Genomic DNA, 14,725 nt, shown 5'->3' with positions numbered 1-14,725 from the left:
ACCCACTTTCTGACACTCCTCAGTGAGATGAGCCGGGTACCTCAGTTGGAAATGCAGAAATCACCCGTCTTCTGTGTCGCTCATGCTGGGAGCTCTAGACTAGAGCTGTTCCTATTCGGCCATCTTGGTTGCACCCCCCAGACTCTTTTTTGATTCTGTATGAATTTTAGAATAGTTTTTTCAAATTCTATGAAAAAATGTCATTGGTACTTTGATAGGAGTAGCACTGAGTCTCTGAATTGCTTTCAGCAATATGATAATTTTAACAACATTAATTCTTTCAATCCATGAGCATGAAATATTTTTACATTCAGTTGTATAATCTCTGATTTTTTAGCAGTGCTTTATAATTCTTGTTGTAGAGATCTTTCACTTTCTTGGTTAGCTATATTCCTAAGCATTTTATTCTTTTTGTGATTATAGTGAATGTGATTGTGTTCTTGATTTAGCTCTCGGTCTGGACTTTATTGATATATAGAGAAGCTACTGATTCTTGTACATTGATTTTATACCTTGAAGATTAACTAAAATTGTTTATCAGATTTAGAACCCTTTGCACAGAGACTATGGGGTTTTCTAGGTATAGATTCATATTGTCTGAAGAAAGAGATAATTTAACTTCCTCTCTTTTTATTTGAATGCCTTTCTCTTCCCTGATTGCTCTGGCTAGGACTTCCAGTATTATGTTGAATAGCAGTGGTAAGAGTGGACATCATTGCCTTGTTCTAGTTTTCAAAGGGAATGCTTCAAGCTTTTGTTTATTCAGTACGTTGTTGGCTGTGGGTTTGTCATAGATGCCTCTAATTGTTTTGAGGTGTGTTCCTTTAATGCCTAGTTTCTTAAGGGTTTTTAACCTGAAGAGATGTGGAATTTTATCAAAAGACTGTTCTGCATCTGTTGAGATAATCATGTGTTTTTTGTTTTTAGTTCTGCTTATGTGATGAATCATTTACTGATTTCTGTATGTTGAACCAACCTTGAGTCCCAGGGATGAAGCCCATTTGATAATAGCAGATTAGCTTTTTGATATGATCCTGGATTTGCTTTGCTAATATTTTGTTGAGGATTTTTGCATATATATTCTTCAGGAAAATTAGCTAATGTTTTCTTTTTTTATTGTGTCTCTACCAGGTTTTGGTATCACAATGATACTTATCTCATAGAATTAGTTAGGGAATAATCACTCCCCCTCAATTTTTGGAATAGTTTTCAAAGAATTGATACCAGCTTTTCTTTATATACCTGTTAGAATTCAGCCATGGATCTCTCTGTTCCAAGGCTTTTTCTGATTGGCAACCTTTTTATTACTGATTCAACTCTGGAACTCATTATTGATCTGTTCAGGGTTTCAATTTCTTCCTGGTTCAATTTTGGGAATGTATATTTTCAAGAATTTTTCCATTTCTTCTAGGTTTCATAGTTTACGTGCATAGAGGTGTTCATAACAGTATCTGAGTGGTTTTTGTATTTCTATGAGGTTGGTGGCAATGCCCCCTTTGTCATTTCTGATTGGGTTTATGTGGATTTTCTCATCTTTTTCTCCTTTATTATTCTAGTCTGTGGTCTACCAATTTTATTTATTCCTTCAAATTACCAATTTTTTTGTTTATCTTCTATATAGTTTTCAGTTCTCAGTTTTATTTAGTTCAGCTCTGATTTTGGTTATTTCTTGTCTTCTGCTAGCTTTAGGTTTTTTTTCCTTATTTTTCTAGTTCCTTTAGATGTGAGATTATGTTACTAATTTGAGATCTTTCTAACTTTTTGATGTGGGCATTTAGTGCTATAAACTTTCCTCTTAACTCTGTTTTAGCTGTGTCTCAGAGACTCTGGCATGTAGTATCTTTGTTTTCATTTGTTAGAACAATTTCCTGATTTCTGACTTCGTTGTTTACCCAAAAGTCTTTCAGGACCAGAAATTGTTTAATTGCTATTTAATTGTATAGTTTTTCAGAGCTCTTCTTGATCTTGATTTCTATTTTTGTTGTGCTGTGGTGCAAGAGTGTGGTTGGTATGATTTTGGTTTTTTTGAATGTGTTGAAAATTGCGACTTCCCCCAAGATGGCTGAATAGGAAGAGCTCCGGTCTGCAACTACCAGCTTGATTGATGCAGAAGACAGGTGTATTCTGCATATATGGTACTATGTGAAAAGAAAAAAATCTATGTTTGATTTGTGTACCTGAAAGTGACAGGGAGAATGGAACCAAGCTGGAAAACACTGCTCATGATGTTATCCAGGAGAACATCCCCAACCTAGCAAGGCAGGCCAACATTCAAATTCAGGAAATACAGAGAACACCACAAAGATACTCCATGAGAAGAGCAACCCCAAGACACATAATTATCAGACTCACGAAGGTTGAAATGAAGGAAAAACGTTAAGGGCAGCCAGAAAGAAAAGTCGGGTTCCACAAAGGGAAGCCCATGAGACTAACAGCTGATTTCTCTGCAGAAACACTACCAGCCAGAAGAGAGTGGGGGCCAATATTCAACATTCTTAAAGAAAAGAATTTTCAACCGAGAATTTCATATCCACCCAAACTAAGCATCATAAGTGAAGGAGAAATAAAATCCTTTACAGACAAGCAAATGCTAAGAGATTTTGTCACCACCAGACCTGCCTTACAAGAGCTCCTGAAGGAAGCACTAAACATGGAAAGAAACAACCAGTACCAGACACTCCAAAAACATGCCAAATTGTAAAGACCATTGATGCTATGAAGAAACTGCATAAACTAATGAGCAAAATAACCAGCTAACATCATAAAGACAGAATCAAATTCACACTTAATATTAACCTTAAATATAAATGAGCTAAATATGACAATTAAAAGACACAGACTGACAAATTGGATAAAGAGTCAAGACCCATCAGTGTGCTGTATTCAGGAGACCCATCTCAAGTGCAGAGACACACATAGGCTCAAAATAAAGGGATGGAGGACACTCTACCAAGCAAATGGAAAGCAAAAAAAAAGCAGGGGTTGCAATCCCAGTCTCTGATAAAACAGACTTTAACCAATAAAGATCAAAAGAGACAAAGGCACGGTGGCTCACACCTGTAATTCCAGCAATTTGGGAGGCTGAGGTGGGCAGATCATGAAGTCAGGCAATTGAGACCATCCTGGCTAATATGGTGAAACCCCATCTATATTAAAAATACAAAAAATTAGCTGGGCATGGTGGTGGGCACCTGTAGTCCCAGCTACTCAGGAGGCTCAAGCAGGAGAATGGTATGAACACAGGAGGAAGAGCTTGCAGTGAGCTGAGATCGCACCACTGTACTCCAGCCTGGGTGACAGAGTGAGACTCTGTCTCAAAAAAAAAAAAAAAAGAGAGAGAGAGAGACAAAGAAGGCCATTACATAATGGTAAAGGAATCAATTCAAAAAGAAGAGCTAACTATCCTAAATATATATGCACCCAAAACAGGAGCACCCAGATTCATATAATGAGTCCTTACAGACCTACGAAGAGACTTATACTCCCACACAATAATAATGGGAGACTTTAACATTCCATTGTCAATATTAGGCAGATCAACAAGACAGAAGGTTAACAAGGATATCCAGGACTTGAACTCAGCTCTGCACCAAGCAGACCTAATAGACATCTACGGTACTCTCTACCCCAAATCAACAGAGTATATATTCTTCTCAGCACCACATCATACTTATTCTAAAATTGACCACAAAATTGGAAGTAAAGCACTCCTCAGCAAATGTAAAAAGAAAAGAAATCACAACAAACTGTCTCTCGGACCACAGTGCAATCAAATTAGAACTCAGGATTAAGAAACTCACTCAAAACCACACAACTACATGGAAACTGTAGTCCTGAATGACTACTTGGTAAATAACAAAATGAAGGCAGAAATAAAGATGCTCTAGGAAACCAATGAGAACAAAGACACAATGTACCAGAATCTCTGGGACACATGTAAAGCAGTGTGTAGAGGGAAATTTATAGCACTAAATGCCCACAAGATAAAGCAGGAAAGATCTAAAATTGACACCTAACATCACATTAAAAGAACTAGAGAAGCAAGAGCAAACATATTCAAAAGCTAGCCGAAGACAAGAAATAACTAAGATCAGAGCAGACCTGAATGAGATAAAGACACAAAAAAAATCTTCAAAAGATCAATGAATCCAGGACCTGGCTTTTTGAAAAGATCAGCAAAATTGATAGACCACTAGCAAGACTAATAAAGAAGAAAAGAGAGAAGAATCATATAGACACAATAAAAAATGATAAAGGGGATATCACCACTGATCCCACAAAAATACAAACTACCATCAGAGGATAATATAAACATCTCTGTGCAAATAAACTAGAAAATCTAGAAGAAATGGATAAATTCCTCGACACACACACCCTCCCAAGAGTAAACCAGGAAGAAGTTGAATCTCTGAATAGACCAATAACAGGCTCTGAAATTGAGGCAATAATTAATAGCCTGCCAACCAAAAAAAGTCCAGGACCAGATGGATTCACAGACAAATTCTACTAAAGGTACAAAGAGGAGCTGGTACCATTCCTTCTGAAACTATTCCAATCAATAGAAAAAGAGGGAATCCTCCCTTACTCATTTTTTGAGGCCAGCATAATCCTGATGCTGAGAGTTTTAGACCAATGTCCCCGATGAACACTGATGCAAAATCCTCAGTAAAATACTGGCAAACAAAATCCAGCAGCACATCAAAAAGCTTATCCACCATGATCAAATCAGCTTCATCCCTGGGATGCAAGGCTGGTTCAACATATGCAAATCAATAAATGTAATCCATCACATAAACAGAACTAAAGAAAAAAACCACATCATTATCTCAATAGATGCAGAAAAGGCCTTTGACAAAATTCAACAGCTGTTCATGCTAAAAAACTCCCAATACACTAGATATTGATGGAACATATCTCAAAATACTAAGACCTATTTATGACAAACCCACAGCCAATATCATACTGAATGGGCAAAACTGGAAGCATTCCCTTTGAAAACTGGCACAAGACAAGGATGCCCTCTCTCACCACTCCTATTCAACATAGTATTGGAAGTCTGGCCAGGGCAATCAGGCAAGAGAAAGAAATAAAGGGTATTTAATTAGGAACAGAGGAAGTCAAATTGTCCCTGTTTGCAGATGACATGATTGTATATTTAGAAAACCCCATCACCTCAGCCCAAAATCTCTTTAAACTGATAAGCAACTTCAGCAAAGTCTCAGGATACAAAATCAACGTGCAAAAATCGCAAGCTTTCCTACACACCAATAACAGACAAACAGAGAGCCAAATCATGAGTGAACTCCCATTCACAATCGCTTCAAAGAGAATAAAATACCTAGGAATCCAACTTACAAGGGATGTGAAGGACCTCTTCAAGGAGAACTACAAACCACTGCTCAATGAAATAAAAGAGGACACAAACAAATGGAAGAACATTCCATGCTCATCGATAGGAAGAATCAATATCGTGAAAATGGCCATACTGCCCAAAGTAATTTATAAATTCAATGCCATCCCTATCAAGCTACCAATGACTTTCTTCACAGAATTGGAAAAACTACCTGATCTTTCATATGAAATCAAAAAGAGCCCACATTGCCAAGACAATCCTAAGCAAAAGGAACAAAGCTGGAGGCATGGGAAGAATGTATATTCTTTTGGTTTTGGGTGGAGCGTTCTGTCAATGTTTATTAGGTCCATTTGGTCAAGTGTCGAGTTTAAGTTCCAAATACCTTTATCAGTGTTCTCTCTTGATGATCTATCTAATGCTGTCAGTTGGGTGTTGAAGTCTACCACCATTATTGTATGATAACATAAGCTTCTTTGTGGGTCTCTAAGTACTTGTTTTATGAACCTGTGTGCTCCTGTGTTGGGTGCATATATATTGAGGATAGCTAAGTCTTCTTATTAAATTCAACCCTCTATCATTAAATAATGTTTTTCTATGTCCTTTTTGACAGTTGTTGGTTTAAAGTTTATTTTGTCTGAAATAAAAATAGCAACCCCTGCTCTTTTTTCTTTCCTGTATGCTTGACAGATTTTTTGCCATCCTTTAGTTTTGGCCTATGGGTGTCCTTGCATGTGAGATGGGTCTCTTGAAGATAACTTACAGGTGGGTCTTGTTTATTTTTTTTTTTTTTGTCTTTTTTAACGTGAGACAGGGTCTCACTCTGTTACTTAGGCCGAAGTGCAGTGGCATGATCACAACTTACTGCAGCCTCCACCTCCCCAGGCTTGGGTGATCCTCCTACCTCAGCCTCCTCAGTAGCTGGGACTACAGGCATGTGCCACCATTCTTAGCTAATTTTCTTGGTTTTTTTGTAGAAATGGGGTTTTTCCATGTTGCCTAGGTTGGTCTCAAACTCATAGGATCAAGCAATCGGCCTGCCTTAGCCTCAAAGTGTTAGGATTACAGGCATGAGCCAGGGTCTTGTTTCTTTATTCAACTTGCCACTCTGTGTCTTGGGGTGTTTAGCTCATTTACCTTCAAGGTAAATATTGATAAGTGAGAAGTTGATTTTGTCATTATTGTTAGCTGGTTGTTATGTAGACTTAATTGTGTAGTTCCTTTATAGTGTCACTGGTCTGTTTACTTAAGTGCATTTATGTGGTGGCTGGTAAGAGTCTTTTATTTCCATGTTTAGCACTCCCTTAATGACTTCTTATAAGGCAGGTCTGGTGGTAATAAATTTCCTTAGCATTTGCTTTGCTGAATTTCTCTTTAACATATAAATCTTACTTGGGCTGGATATGAAATTTTGGGTCAGAATTTCTTTTCTTTAACAATGCTGAATATAGGCCCTCAATGTCTTCTGGCTTCTAAGGTTTCTGCTGAAAGGTATGCTGTTAGCTTGATTGGGGTCCCTTTGTAGGTGACCTGCTCCTCCTCTCTGGTTGCCTTTAGTATTTTTTTCTTTCACATTGACCTTGGATAATCTTATTATTGTGTATCTTGAGGATGGTTTTCTAGTGTAGTATCTCTCAGGAGTTCTCTGAATTTCTTGAATTTGAATGTTGACCTCTATAGTGAAGTTGAGAAAATTGTCATGGACAATATCCTCATATATGTTTTCAATTGTTTGCACACTCTCTCTCTCTCTCTTTCAGGGACATCAGTGAGTACAGGTTTGGTCTCTTTACATAACCTCATATTTCTCAGAGATTTTGTTCATCCTTCTGTATTATTTTTTCTTTATTTTGTGTGACTGAGTTAATTAGAAGAACTGGTCTTTGAGCTCTGAGATTCTTCCCTCAGTGTGGTCTATTCTGCCTTTAATACTTCCAATTGTATTATAAAATTCTTTAGTGAATTTTTTAGCTCTGTCAAATCAGCTTAGTTCTTTCTTAAAATGGCTATTTTGTCTTTCAGTTATTGTATTATTTTACTGGATTCCTTAAATTCTTTGGATTCCATTTCAACTTTCTCCTGAATCTCATGATTTTCATTGCCATCCAGATTCTAAAATCTATGTCTATTATCTCAGCCATTTTAGTCTGGTTAGGAAAGATTGTTGGGGAGCTAGTGTGTTCATTTGGAAGTAAGAAGACACTCTGACTTTTAGAGCTGCCTGAGTTCTTCCACGGGTTCTTTCTCATCTATGTGGGCTGATGTTCCTTAAACGTTTAAAGTTGCTGTCCTTTTGATGGGGCCTTTTGCTTTTATATTCTTTGATGCCCTTGAGGCTTTGACTATGGTATAGGTTTGGGTCAGTGAGCTAGCTTTATTTCTTGATGATTTCAGGGGGCCATGGCTCAGCTCAGCACTCCTGGGCTATATGCTCTAAGACTGAGGGCCTGGGACCAGGCCCAGAACCTTGTTCTTTGGCCCCTTGAGACTGAGCACCTGCTTCACTGGAGGGGGCCAAGGTGCTCCCAGTCCACTAGCAACAACACTCCTATGGTGGGCAGGGTGGGGGGGTCCCAGAAAAGCATTTCATAAGGGCAGTGGCGGTGGGGGTCTGCTCTCACATGCATGTACTGGCAGCAGTGGGGCAGTGGCATGGTGGGGTCCACACTCACTCACATGCTGGTGGTGGTGGGGCAGCAGGGTAGAAGGTCCATGCACATGTACACCAGGGATGGTAGTGTGGCAGGGTACATGCACGCATGTAGGCTAGTGGGGACAGTGCAGCAGTGGTGAGGTCTCCATGCATATGTGCACAGAAGTGGTAGCAAGGCAGTGATGTCTGTGTATGTATGCCAGCAAAGCAGTTGTGGGTGCTGAAGGCAGGTGCATGCTGATGTGAGGCCAGTGACAGAAGCTATTTGGTGGTTTGGTGGGGTCAGCCAGTGAAAGACCTATGGCAGTGGTCTCTGAGAACTGCCTCAGTTGAACATCTGAGGCTGTGCTGCAAGCAGGTACAGACAGGCAGGGATCCTGGGAGAGGCCAGCAGACATGGGGTGGGGGGCTCAGATCAGTCTAGCCCCATCCAAATATCATGGTAGCCCTATTCTGTCCAGGTCTGATAGTCAACAAAGGGGTCAAAGCCACCTAGAGGAGCATGCCAATCCTCGGGTAATGGACATCCCTAACCATGCTCCACTGTAGCTGTTCTCACACCAAACCCTCTGGGTTCCATAGAAGCTGGAGTCCTGTCCCTGCCAACTCTGCAAGTAGCTTTCCCTGCCAACTCAAATGTCTGTGTGGGTCGTGGGGGTCTCCTGCAGCTAGGATTCCAGAGGTTCATGGATAGAGTGGGCCACTTCATGCCTATTTAACCAACCCCTTCCCTAGAAGCCACTGAGGACCAAGAATAAGTCCTAGTGTTTGGCAACCCTGTGTAGGGTTCGCAGCTTCTTCCCCCCTTCAGCCCAGGGTCTGCATTCTCCCTCCATCCACTCTCAATGCCTTCTTTCCAATGATCTTCTCAGAGTATACTGCTCTTCTTGATGGTCTTGTCTCTTGGTGGGAGAAGCTCTTCCTGGCTGCATCTAGTCAGCCATCTTGTCTCTTCTCCCAAAAATAAGTTTAATTTTATATATTTTTGGCTTTATTTCCCAGTTTCCTGGGTGTCCTAGAATCCTCTCTATTGATCTCTCTGTATCTGCAGGTCACAGGGTGACTAAGGGTGCAGGAGAGTCACCTAGGGCCTCCTGGTGCCAAGGAAATGAGCAATGGAAGCAGGACCCAAGCTGGGTGAGTGGGCACAAGGAGACAAAGGCCCTGCCAGATCTGGGAAGCCACCTCCTCCTCCAAAAAAAGTTATATTCATACATGGAATTCTATTCAGCAATGAAAAGGAATGGTTACTAATACACTGAGCAGCATGGATTACTTACAACCATATGCTAAACTGAAGAAAAATAAAAGGCAATACCAAGTAGATATGTTTATTTCCATCTTAATAAAATCATAGAAAATACAAGTTTAAGCTTAAGTGACATAAAGTATATCAGTAGTTGCAAGAATGCCAGGTTGTTGGTGTGCTTGACTACAAACAGGTATGAGGGGTTATGACATTTAATATCTTGATTGTGATTTTGTTTACATGGGCTTATATAATTATCAAAATAAATAGAACTGTACACTTAAAGATTCAAATTTTACTATAAATTATACATCAATAAAATCTATTTAAAATTTTTTGAAATAAATAAAAACATGAAAACAATAGAAAAGAAACATGGACAGATTGAGGAAGCAAACATTGCAACTTCAGGAGAGTGGACACAATCTCATTTGTTTTATCCACCACCAGTTTAGAAGCTGTATGTGCCTGTCTCAACTCAGTACCCAAAAAATATTAGTTGAATTAGTGAATGAAACCTAAAGGGACTAAAGTTTAGCCAAGGCTATCTCAGATAACACAGTCCTTTAGGAAATTTGTCTTCCATATACAGCACAACGGTTGCCTTGATCCCACTCCAACCCTGAGGACCAAATCTCTTGTTCCTTTTCTTAAGTATTCTGTGACATATCTGCACCACTGATCATCACATGTAACTTGCACACTCTCTGTCTATTTGCATTTGTAATTCTCTGTGTTTAGAAAATAAGTGTATCAAGGCACAAGGCTGCACTTTTCCTTAAATGTTTAAGGAGAAAATGAGGGAGCTAAAGGAGAGTGGAATTTATCTGCTAGGTATGAAGCATTTAAACAAAAAGAGAAGCATGAATATTTCCAATGCTACAACAACATTGGGAAGGAATATAATGAGAAAAATTGTCAACATGACAGTTAATCCAACTTAGATATGATGTTTTGTTTTGTGTTTCACTGAGCCTATCATATGCAGGAAAGGCACATTTATCATGATCCTTGCCTCCTAAAAGCTTAAAAATGTGAAATGAAAGACTCAAGTAGCTGCAACACAGGGTAGGAAGTGTTGCATGCACATAACAGTTGAGGGGCTCTCTGGGTTCAGTATGGGTCAAGGAAGATCGTTGGAGGAAATGACATCAGAAATGGGCTTTGAAGGTTGAGTGCTATATAAAAAGTGGAGATTCCAAGAAAAACATTCCAAATTAGAATTTGGTTTTTATTAACAAATGTTTATTATGCAGAAAGAGAAACAATTTAAATGGAGAGTCGACGGGATGGCATCACTATATTGTACTAGGCTCCTGGGTTGCTGGGTTCTTAACACAATGGGGGAGTCAGGGGGAAGAGTCTCACAGGATGTCCTGATATGAGCTGTGAAGGAACAGGAATGGGAGAAACCCTGAATAAGTTGGAGGTGGTAACTGAGGATAAGGTGGAGTAGTCAATAGAGAAAAGCTAAGAGAGTGAAAAATGGAATGTGAAATAAGAAACTGGGAGGAGAGGAGGAAATACAAAAAACTCACCAGTGCTTCTTAAACCATAACACAAGGACTATTAGAATCACCAAGGGCACTATCACTACCAAGGCAATCCAATTCATGGAAAAGTGGTGTCCTGCACATATTGGAAAGATACATGGATGCCATTTTAAACTCACTGCTGATTCTATTCCATCTATTGATTTCCTTACTTAACATATGCATTGGATGAGTTGCATCAGTTATCCTATTTCAGTCACTCTATTCCAAAACTTACTCAAGGAAGGATTCCTCATTTCCCCTTAAATCTCTAGTATCCATGTATCCCTTAGGTCTTACTCCACTATTCTTTAAATTACCCTATACATTTCTTCCTACAATCCCTCACCTAGGTCTGCTATCCTCAAAATTTCCTCTCCCCTAACCTCTAGGCTCAAGAACCACCTACCTACACTTCCAACCTCCAGTCTTACCCCAGTAGAGGATGATGTCCTGGCCTCCTAGACTGCTGTGTCTCACTCGACAAGACAGGCCAGCAGGCTCCTCAGATGCCACCTCCAGGATCACCTGAAGATACCATGTCCCATCAGCATTAGGAAGAATATCACCATGTTTAGTGCCCAGTTGCTCCTGTTCATTCCGCATCCATGTCACCCAAACAGGCTTTGGGTAGAAGCCGGAGGCATGACAAACCAGCAACAGCTGGCCAGACCCAAGGCTGGGGCGACTGGACAGCCAGGCTTCTGGCCTCACTGCAGAGAGCAGAAAAAGTGTTCTGATGAAGAAACTTACACACAACTTACATCCACATACACACATCCACATGAATATGCACAGTTATCTTTTTCCTGCCTCTAAGAAACTATTACCCAGCAACCCCCCTGCTTCTTGTCCTCTTTCTTGTCCTGAGTTTGAAGGGTGGGAACAGAAGGGGCAGTACTTGAATAGAAAAATCTTAGAGGAAGGGGCTGAAACTACTGACCTTGCCTGTGTACATACATCTTCCCTGCATCCAGGAGACCCAAGAGAAATCGGGGGCAAGTGCTTCTTATGAGATTATACACTGTTTCTGTGACGCCTTCATACTGATGATTGAGTAGATGACAGACACTTTGGGCCAAACTTCCACAGCCTGGAGATGGCACCCATGTTGTATTCTGGAAACTCAGTAAATCTAATCCGTTGAAAGCTACCTGAAAGAAGCCTTCTGGGCTCTTTCCAGAATGCAGCTCACAGCCCGCTTTCACCTGTACTTCAAAGGGATCTGGAGGAAGGGAGGAATGAGAAAAAGAGTTCAAACAAAAAAGTGAAAACAACAGTATAAAAACCTAGGGCTGTATCAGGAAGTGAAGCAAGAAAGTTTTACATGGATGTGAGAGTGAGCCAAAGACATATTTGATCAGAAACAAGAGAGAAAAATTGCTGGGGATAGGGAAGGGGACAATAAGAGATAAATGCCTTGAATTAACAAGAAAAAGTGGCCAAGGAAGATGTGGAAAAATGATAGGTGAGCCACATAATATAGGATAGAGGGTGAAGGGGGAGCCTTTGTGAGGGAGGTAGGAGGATAGCATTCCATGACGCATGAAATTGGTCATAATGGTCATTGAACTGTGGACATAGATCTTTGAAGAAATTGAATGGGGGAATAGATTTTATTTTAAGGGAGTCAAGCACAGAGTGGGACAGCTGTGTATCTCTGGATTGTAGGATACAGAGGGAGACCACAGGTGGAAGATAACAAAGCACAAGAAAAAAAATTCCAAAAATAGCAAGAGCCTAGGAAATTTGAGGGAGTCAACATCAGGAATATCCCTTAAAAGGTTCATCTATGCAGAATTTTATGGTGGGATGGGATAATGGGAAATGGCCCAAAAATTAGTAGAGAATATTTCCCTGAAATAGAACATTCTAAAGAACTCCCATAATTTAGATGATTGAACTTACATTTCGAGTAATCTTGACTTGCATGGTCTTGAATCTCCCGAGTTAATCCAAAGAGGTAGAAACGAAATAACAACTCTAGGTCTGACAACTCTTCATTGCTGAAGTTGCCCTTGGACCAGTTATGCAGGAAAATTATTGTGCCTGATTCACTGTCCCAGCCATGAGTCTGCAACTCGTCCAGCCATCCTGAGCCCTGACCTCGTGCCCAGGATTGGTTGACAAATGAGAAGATCTGGATGACATGGAAGGAGACGTGTTCCTGGGATGCTTTTGGTGGAAGAAGGGCAAGTAGTGTAAGGAAAAAAAAAAAAAGAGAGGCAAGGAAAATGGAGAGAAAATGGAAGGTGAACCAGTTACCACAGAGAAACATTAATGACTACTTTAGCTATACCATTTTCCTTACACAGAGCCCCATGCTCTGCCACCATCCTCTAAAAGAGTAAACTGGACCTGGAGAGAGGTATGCTCAAATGGCAACCATTCTGGCTTCTTCATTGATCCATCTTGGGAAAGCCCATCATGCTCAACCCAGATACATGTAACCTTGCAGCTGACAGAGATGTTCATACTATCTGCATTGTCACCACCGGGGAGGAGAAGAACTAGCAGCGGAAACTACAGAAACAGCATGTCATTTGCAGTTGTTTCCTTCTCTCAGAAAAGCCATTTGCTGATCTCTGTTCTTAGCAAACTTATCCCTCTACATCTATATTCTGACTTCCTTCTACCAACAGACAATCTTCCCCATCAGCCACTGACAGCAACTAAGACAATCTGCTTCCCTTAACCTTAGGCCTCCTACTCAATCTCTCATTTCCCCATCTGCTCTGAACTAAAGTTACTCTCTTCCCTTAGGATTTTAGCTGCTCTCCCACTAAGCTCCATCTTATCTACTTCCCTTCCTCAACTGCCTTAGACAAAGTGGTGCGTGGCATTGAAAGGTTGCTTCATCCCTCTGGACCTTGCGTGTCATTTGTAACATAAAAAGGAGAAACCACATCATTTTCCTGGGCCCTGATTGTTTTAACGGAAAATGGAGAGGAAATGGAAATTGAACCAGTTACCACAGAGAAACATTAATGACTACTTTAGCTATAACATTTTCCTTACACAGAGCCCATGCTCTGCCACCATCCTCCAAAAGAGTAAACTGGACCTGGAGACAGGTATGCTCAGATGGCAAGCATTCTGGCATCTCTATTGATCCATCTCGGGAAAGCCCAGCACACTCTACCCAGATACATGTAACCTTGCAGCTGACAGCGATGTTCTTACCGTCTGCATTGTCACCACCTGGGAGAAGAAGAGCTAGCAGCAGAAACTGCAGAAACAGCATGTCATTTGCAGATGTTTCTTTCTCTCAGAAAAGCTGTTTGCTGATCTCTGTTCTTAGCAAACTTATCCCTCTGTACCTATATTCTGACTTCCTTCTACCAACAATCTTCCCCATCAGCCGCTGACAGCAACTAAGAAGATCTGCTTCCCTCAACCTTGGTCCTCCTACTCAATCTCTCATTTCCCCACCTGCTCTGAACTAAAGTTATTCTCTTCTCTCAGGATTCCAGCTGCTCTGCCACTAAGCTCCATTATATCTACTTCCCTTCCTCAACTGCCTTAGACAAAGTGGTGTATGGCATTGAAAGAAAGGTCATTTTGTCCCTCTGGATTTTGCATGTCATTTGTAAGATAAAAAGGAGAAACCATGTCATTTTTTCAGTTCCTGCTTGTTTTAATAGATCACAGTTCTTCCAGTTTCTCCACTTAACTTTGCCTCCACTCTCCATAGTGTCCCCTCTTCTCATCACTCCATTCTTTCTTTCCCCCTTTTGAATGTCCTCAAAGTTTTCTCTTTCCAATTTCACCTCTTTTCACCCATCTTTCTTATTTCCTCATTCTCACTGATTCTTTTATAAATTGGAGACGTTGCTTTTTACATCTTCCAAGATTTCCCTGCACAATTATATAAACTACAGTCCACTCTACATTATCCTTAGAGATTAAATTGCAGCCATTCAGAATGCATAGGACCATAA

General features: G+C 40.4%; 2 protein-coding genes across 4 annotated transcripts in view; one reads left to right on the top strand and one right to left on the bottom strand.

Moving 5' to 3' along the window:
* Window positions 1–14,725, top strand: part of CD1B (CD1b molecule) — a 46,127-nt gene that overhangs the window by 27,439 nt on the left and 3,963 nt on the right. The window contains exon 4 of one of the 2 annotated variants that reach the window (XM_017002784.3): window positions 9,055–9,587. The exons of the other annotated variant lie outside the window; for it this stretch is intronic. Coding sequence (XP_016858273.1) covers window positions 9,055–9,257 — 203 coding nt within the window. The 3' untranslated portion in view covers window positions 9,258–9,587. Of the gene's footprint in view, window positions 1–9,054; window positions 9,588–14,725 lie in introns of those variants that run through there. 2 annotated transcript variants of the gene reach the window in all.
* CD1C (CD1c molecule) lies at window positions 9,319–14,170 on the bottom strand. Of its 2 annotated transcripts, NM_001765.3 has the most exons (6): window positions 13,968–14,170; window positions 12,693–12,959; window positions 11,728–12,009; window positions 11,219–11,497; window positions 10,791–10,881; window positions 9,319–10,638 (listed from the first exon to the last, which is right to left on the bottom strand). In NM_001765.3, exons 1-6 carry the CDS (start codon window positions 14,026–14,028, stop codon window positions 10,617–10,619), a joined length of 1,002 nt encoding a protein of 333 aa, NP_001756.2. In that variant the 5' UTR covers window positions 14,029–14,170; the 3' UTR covers window positions 9,319–10,616. The 2 variants fall into 2 exon arrangements, with proteins under 2 accessions (NP_001756.2, XP_005245636.1); XM_005245579.6 differs by lacking the exon at window positions 10,791–10,881.

This window comes from Homo sapiens, chromosome 1 (genome assembly GCF_000001405.40).
Source record: "Homo sapiens chromosome 1, GRCh38.p14 Primary Assembly".
Taxonomy (NCBI): Eukaryota; Metazoa; Chordata; class Mammalia; order Primates; family Hominidae; genus Homo; species Homo sapiens.
This window is presented reverse-complemented; position numbering and strand designations above follow the sequence as displayed.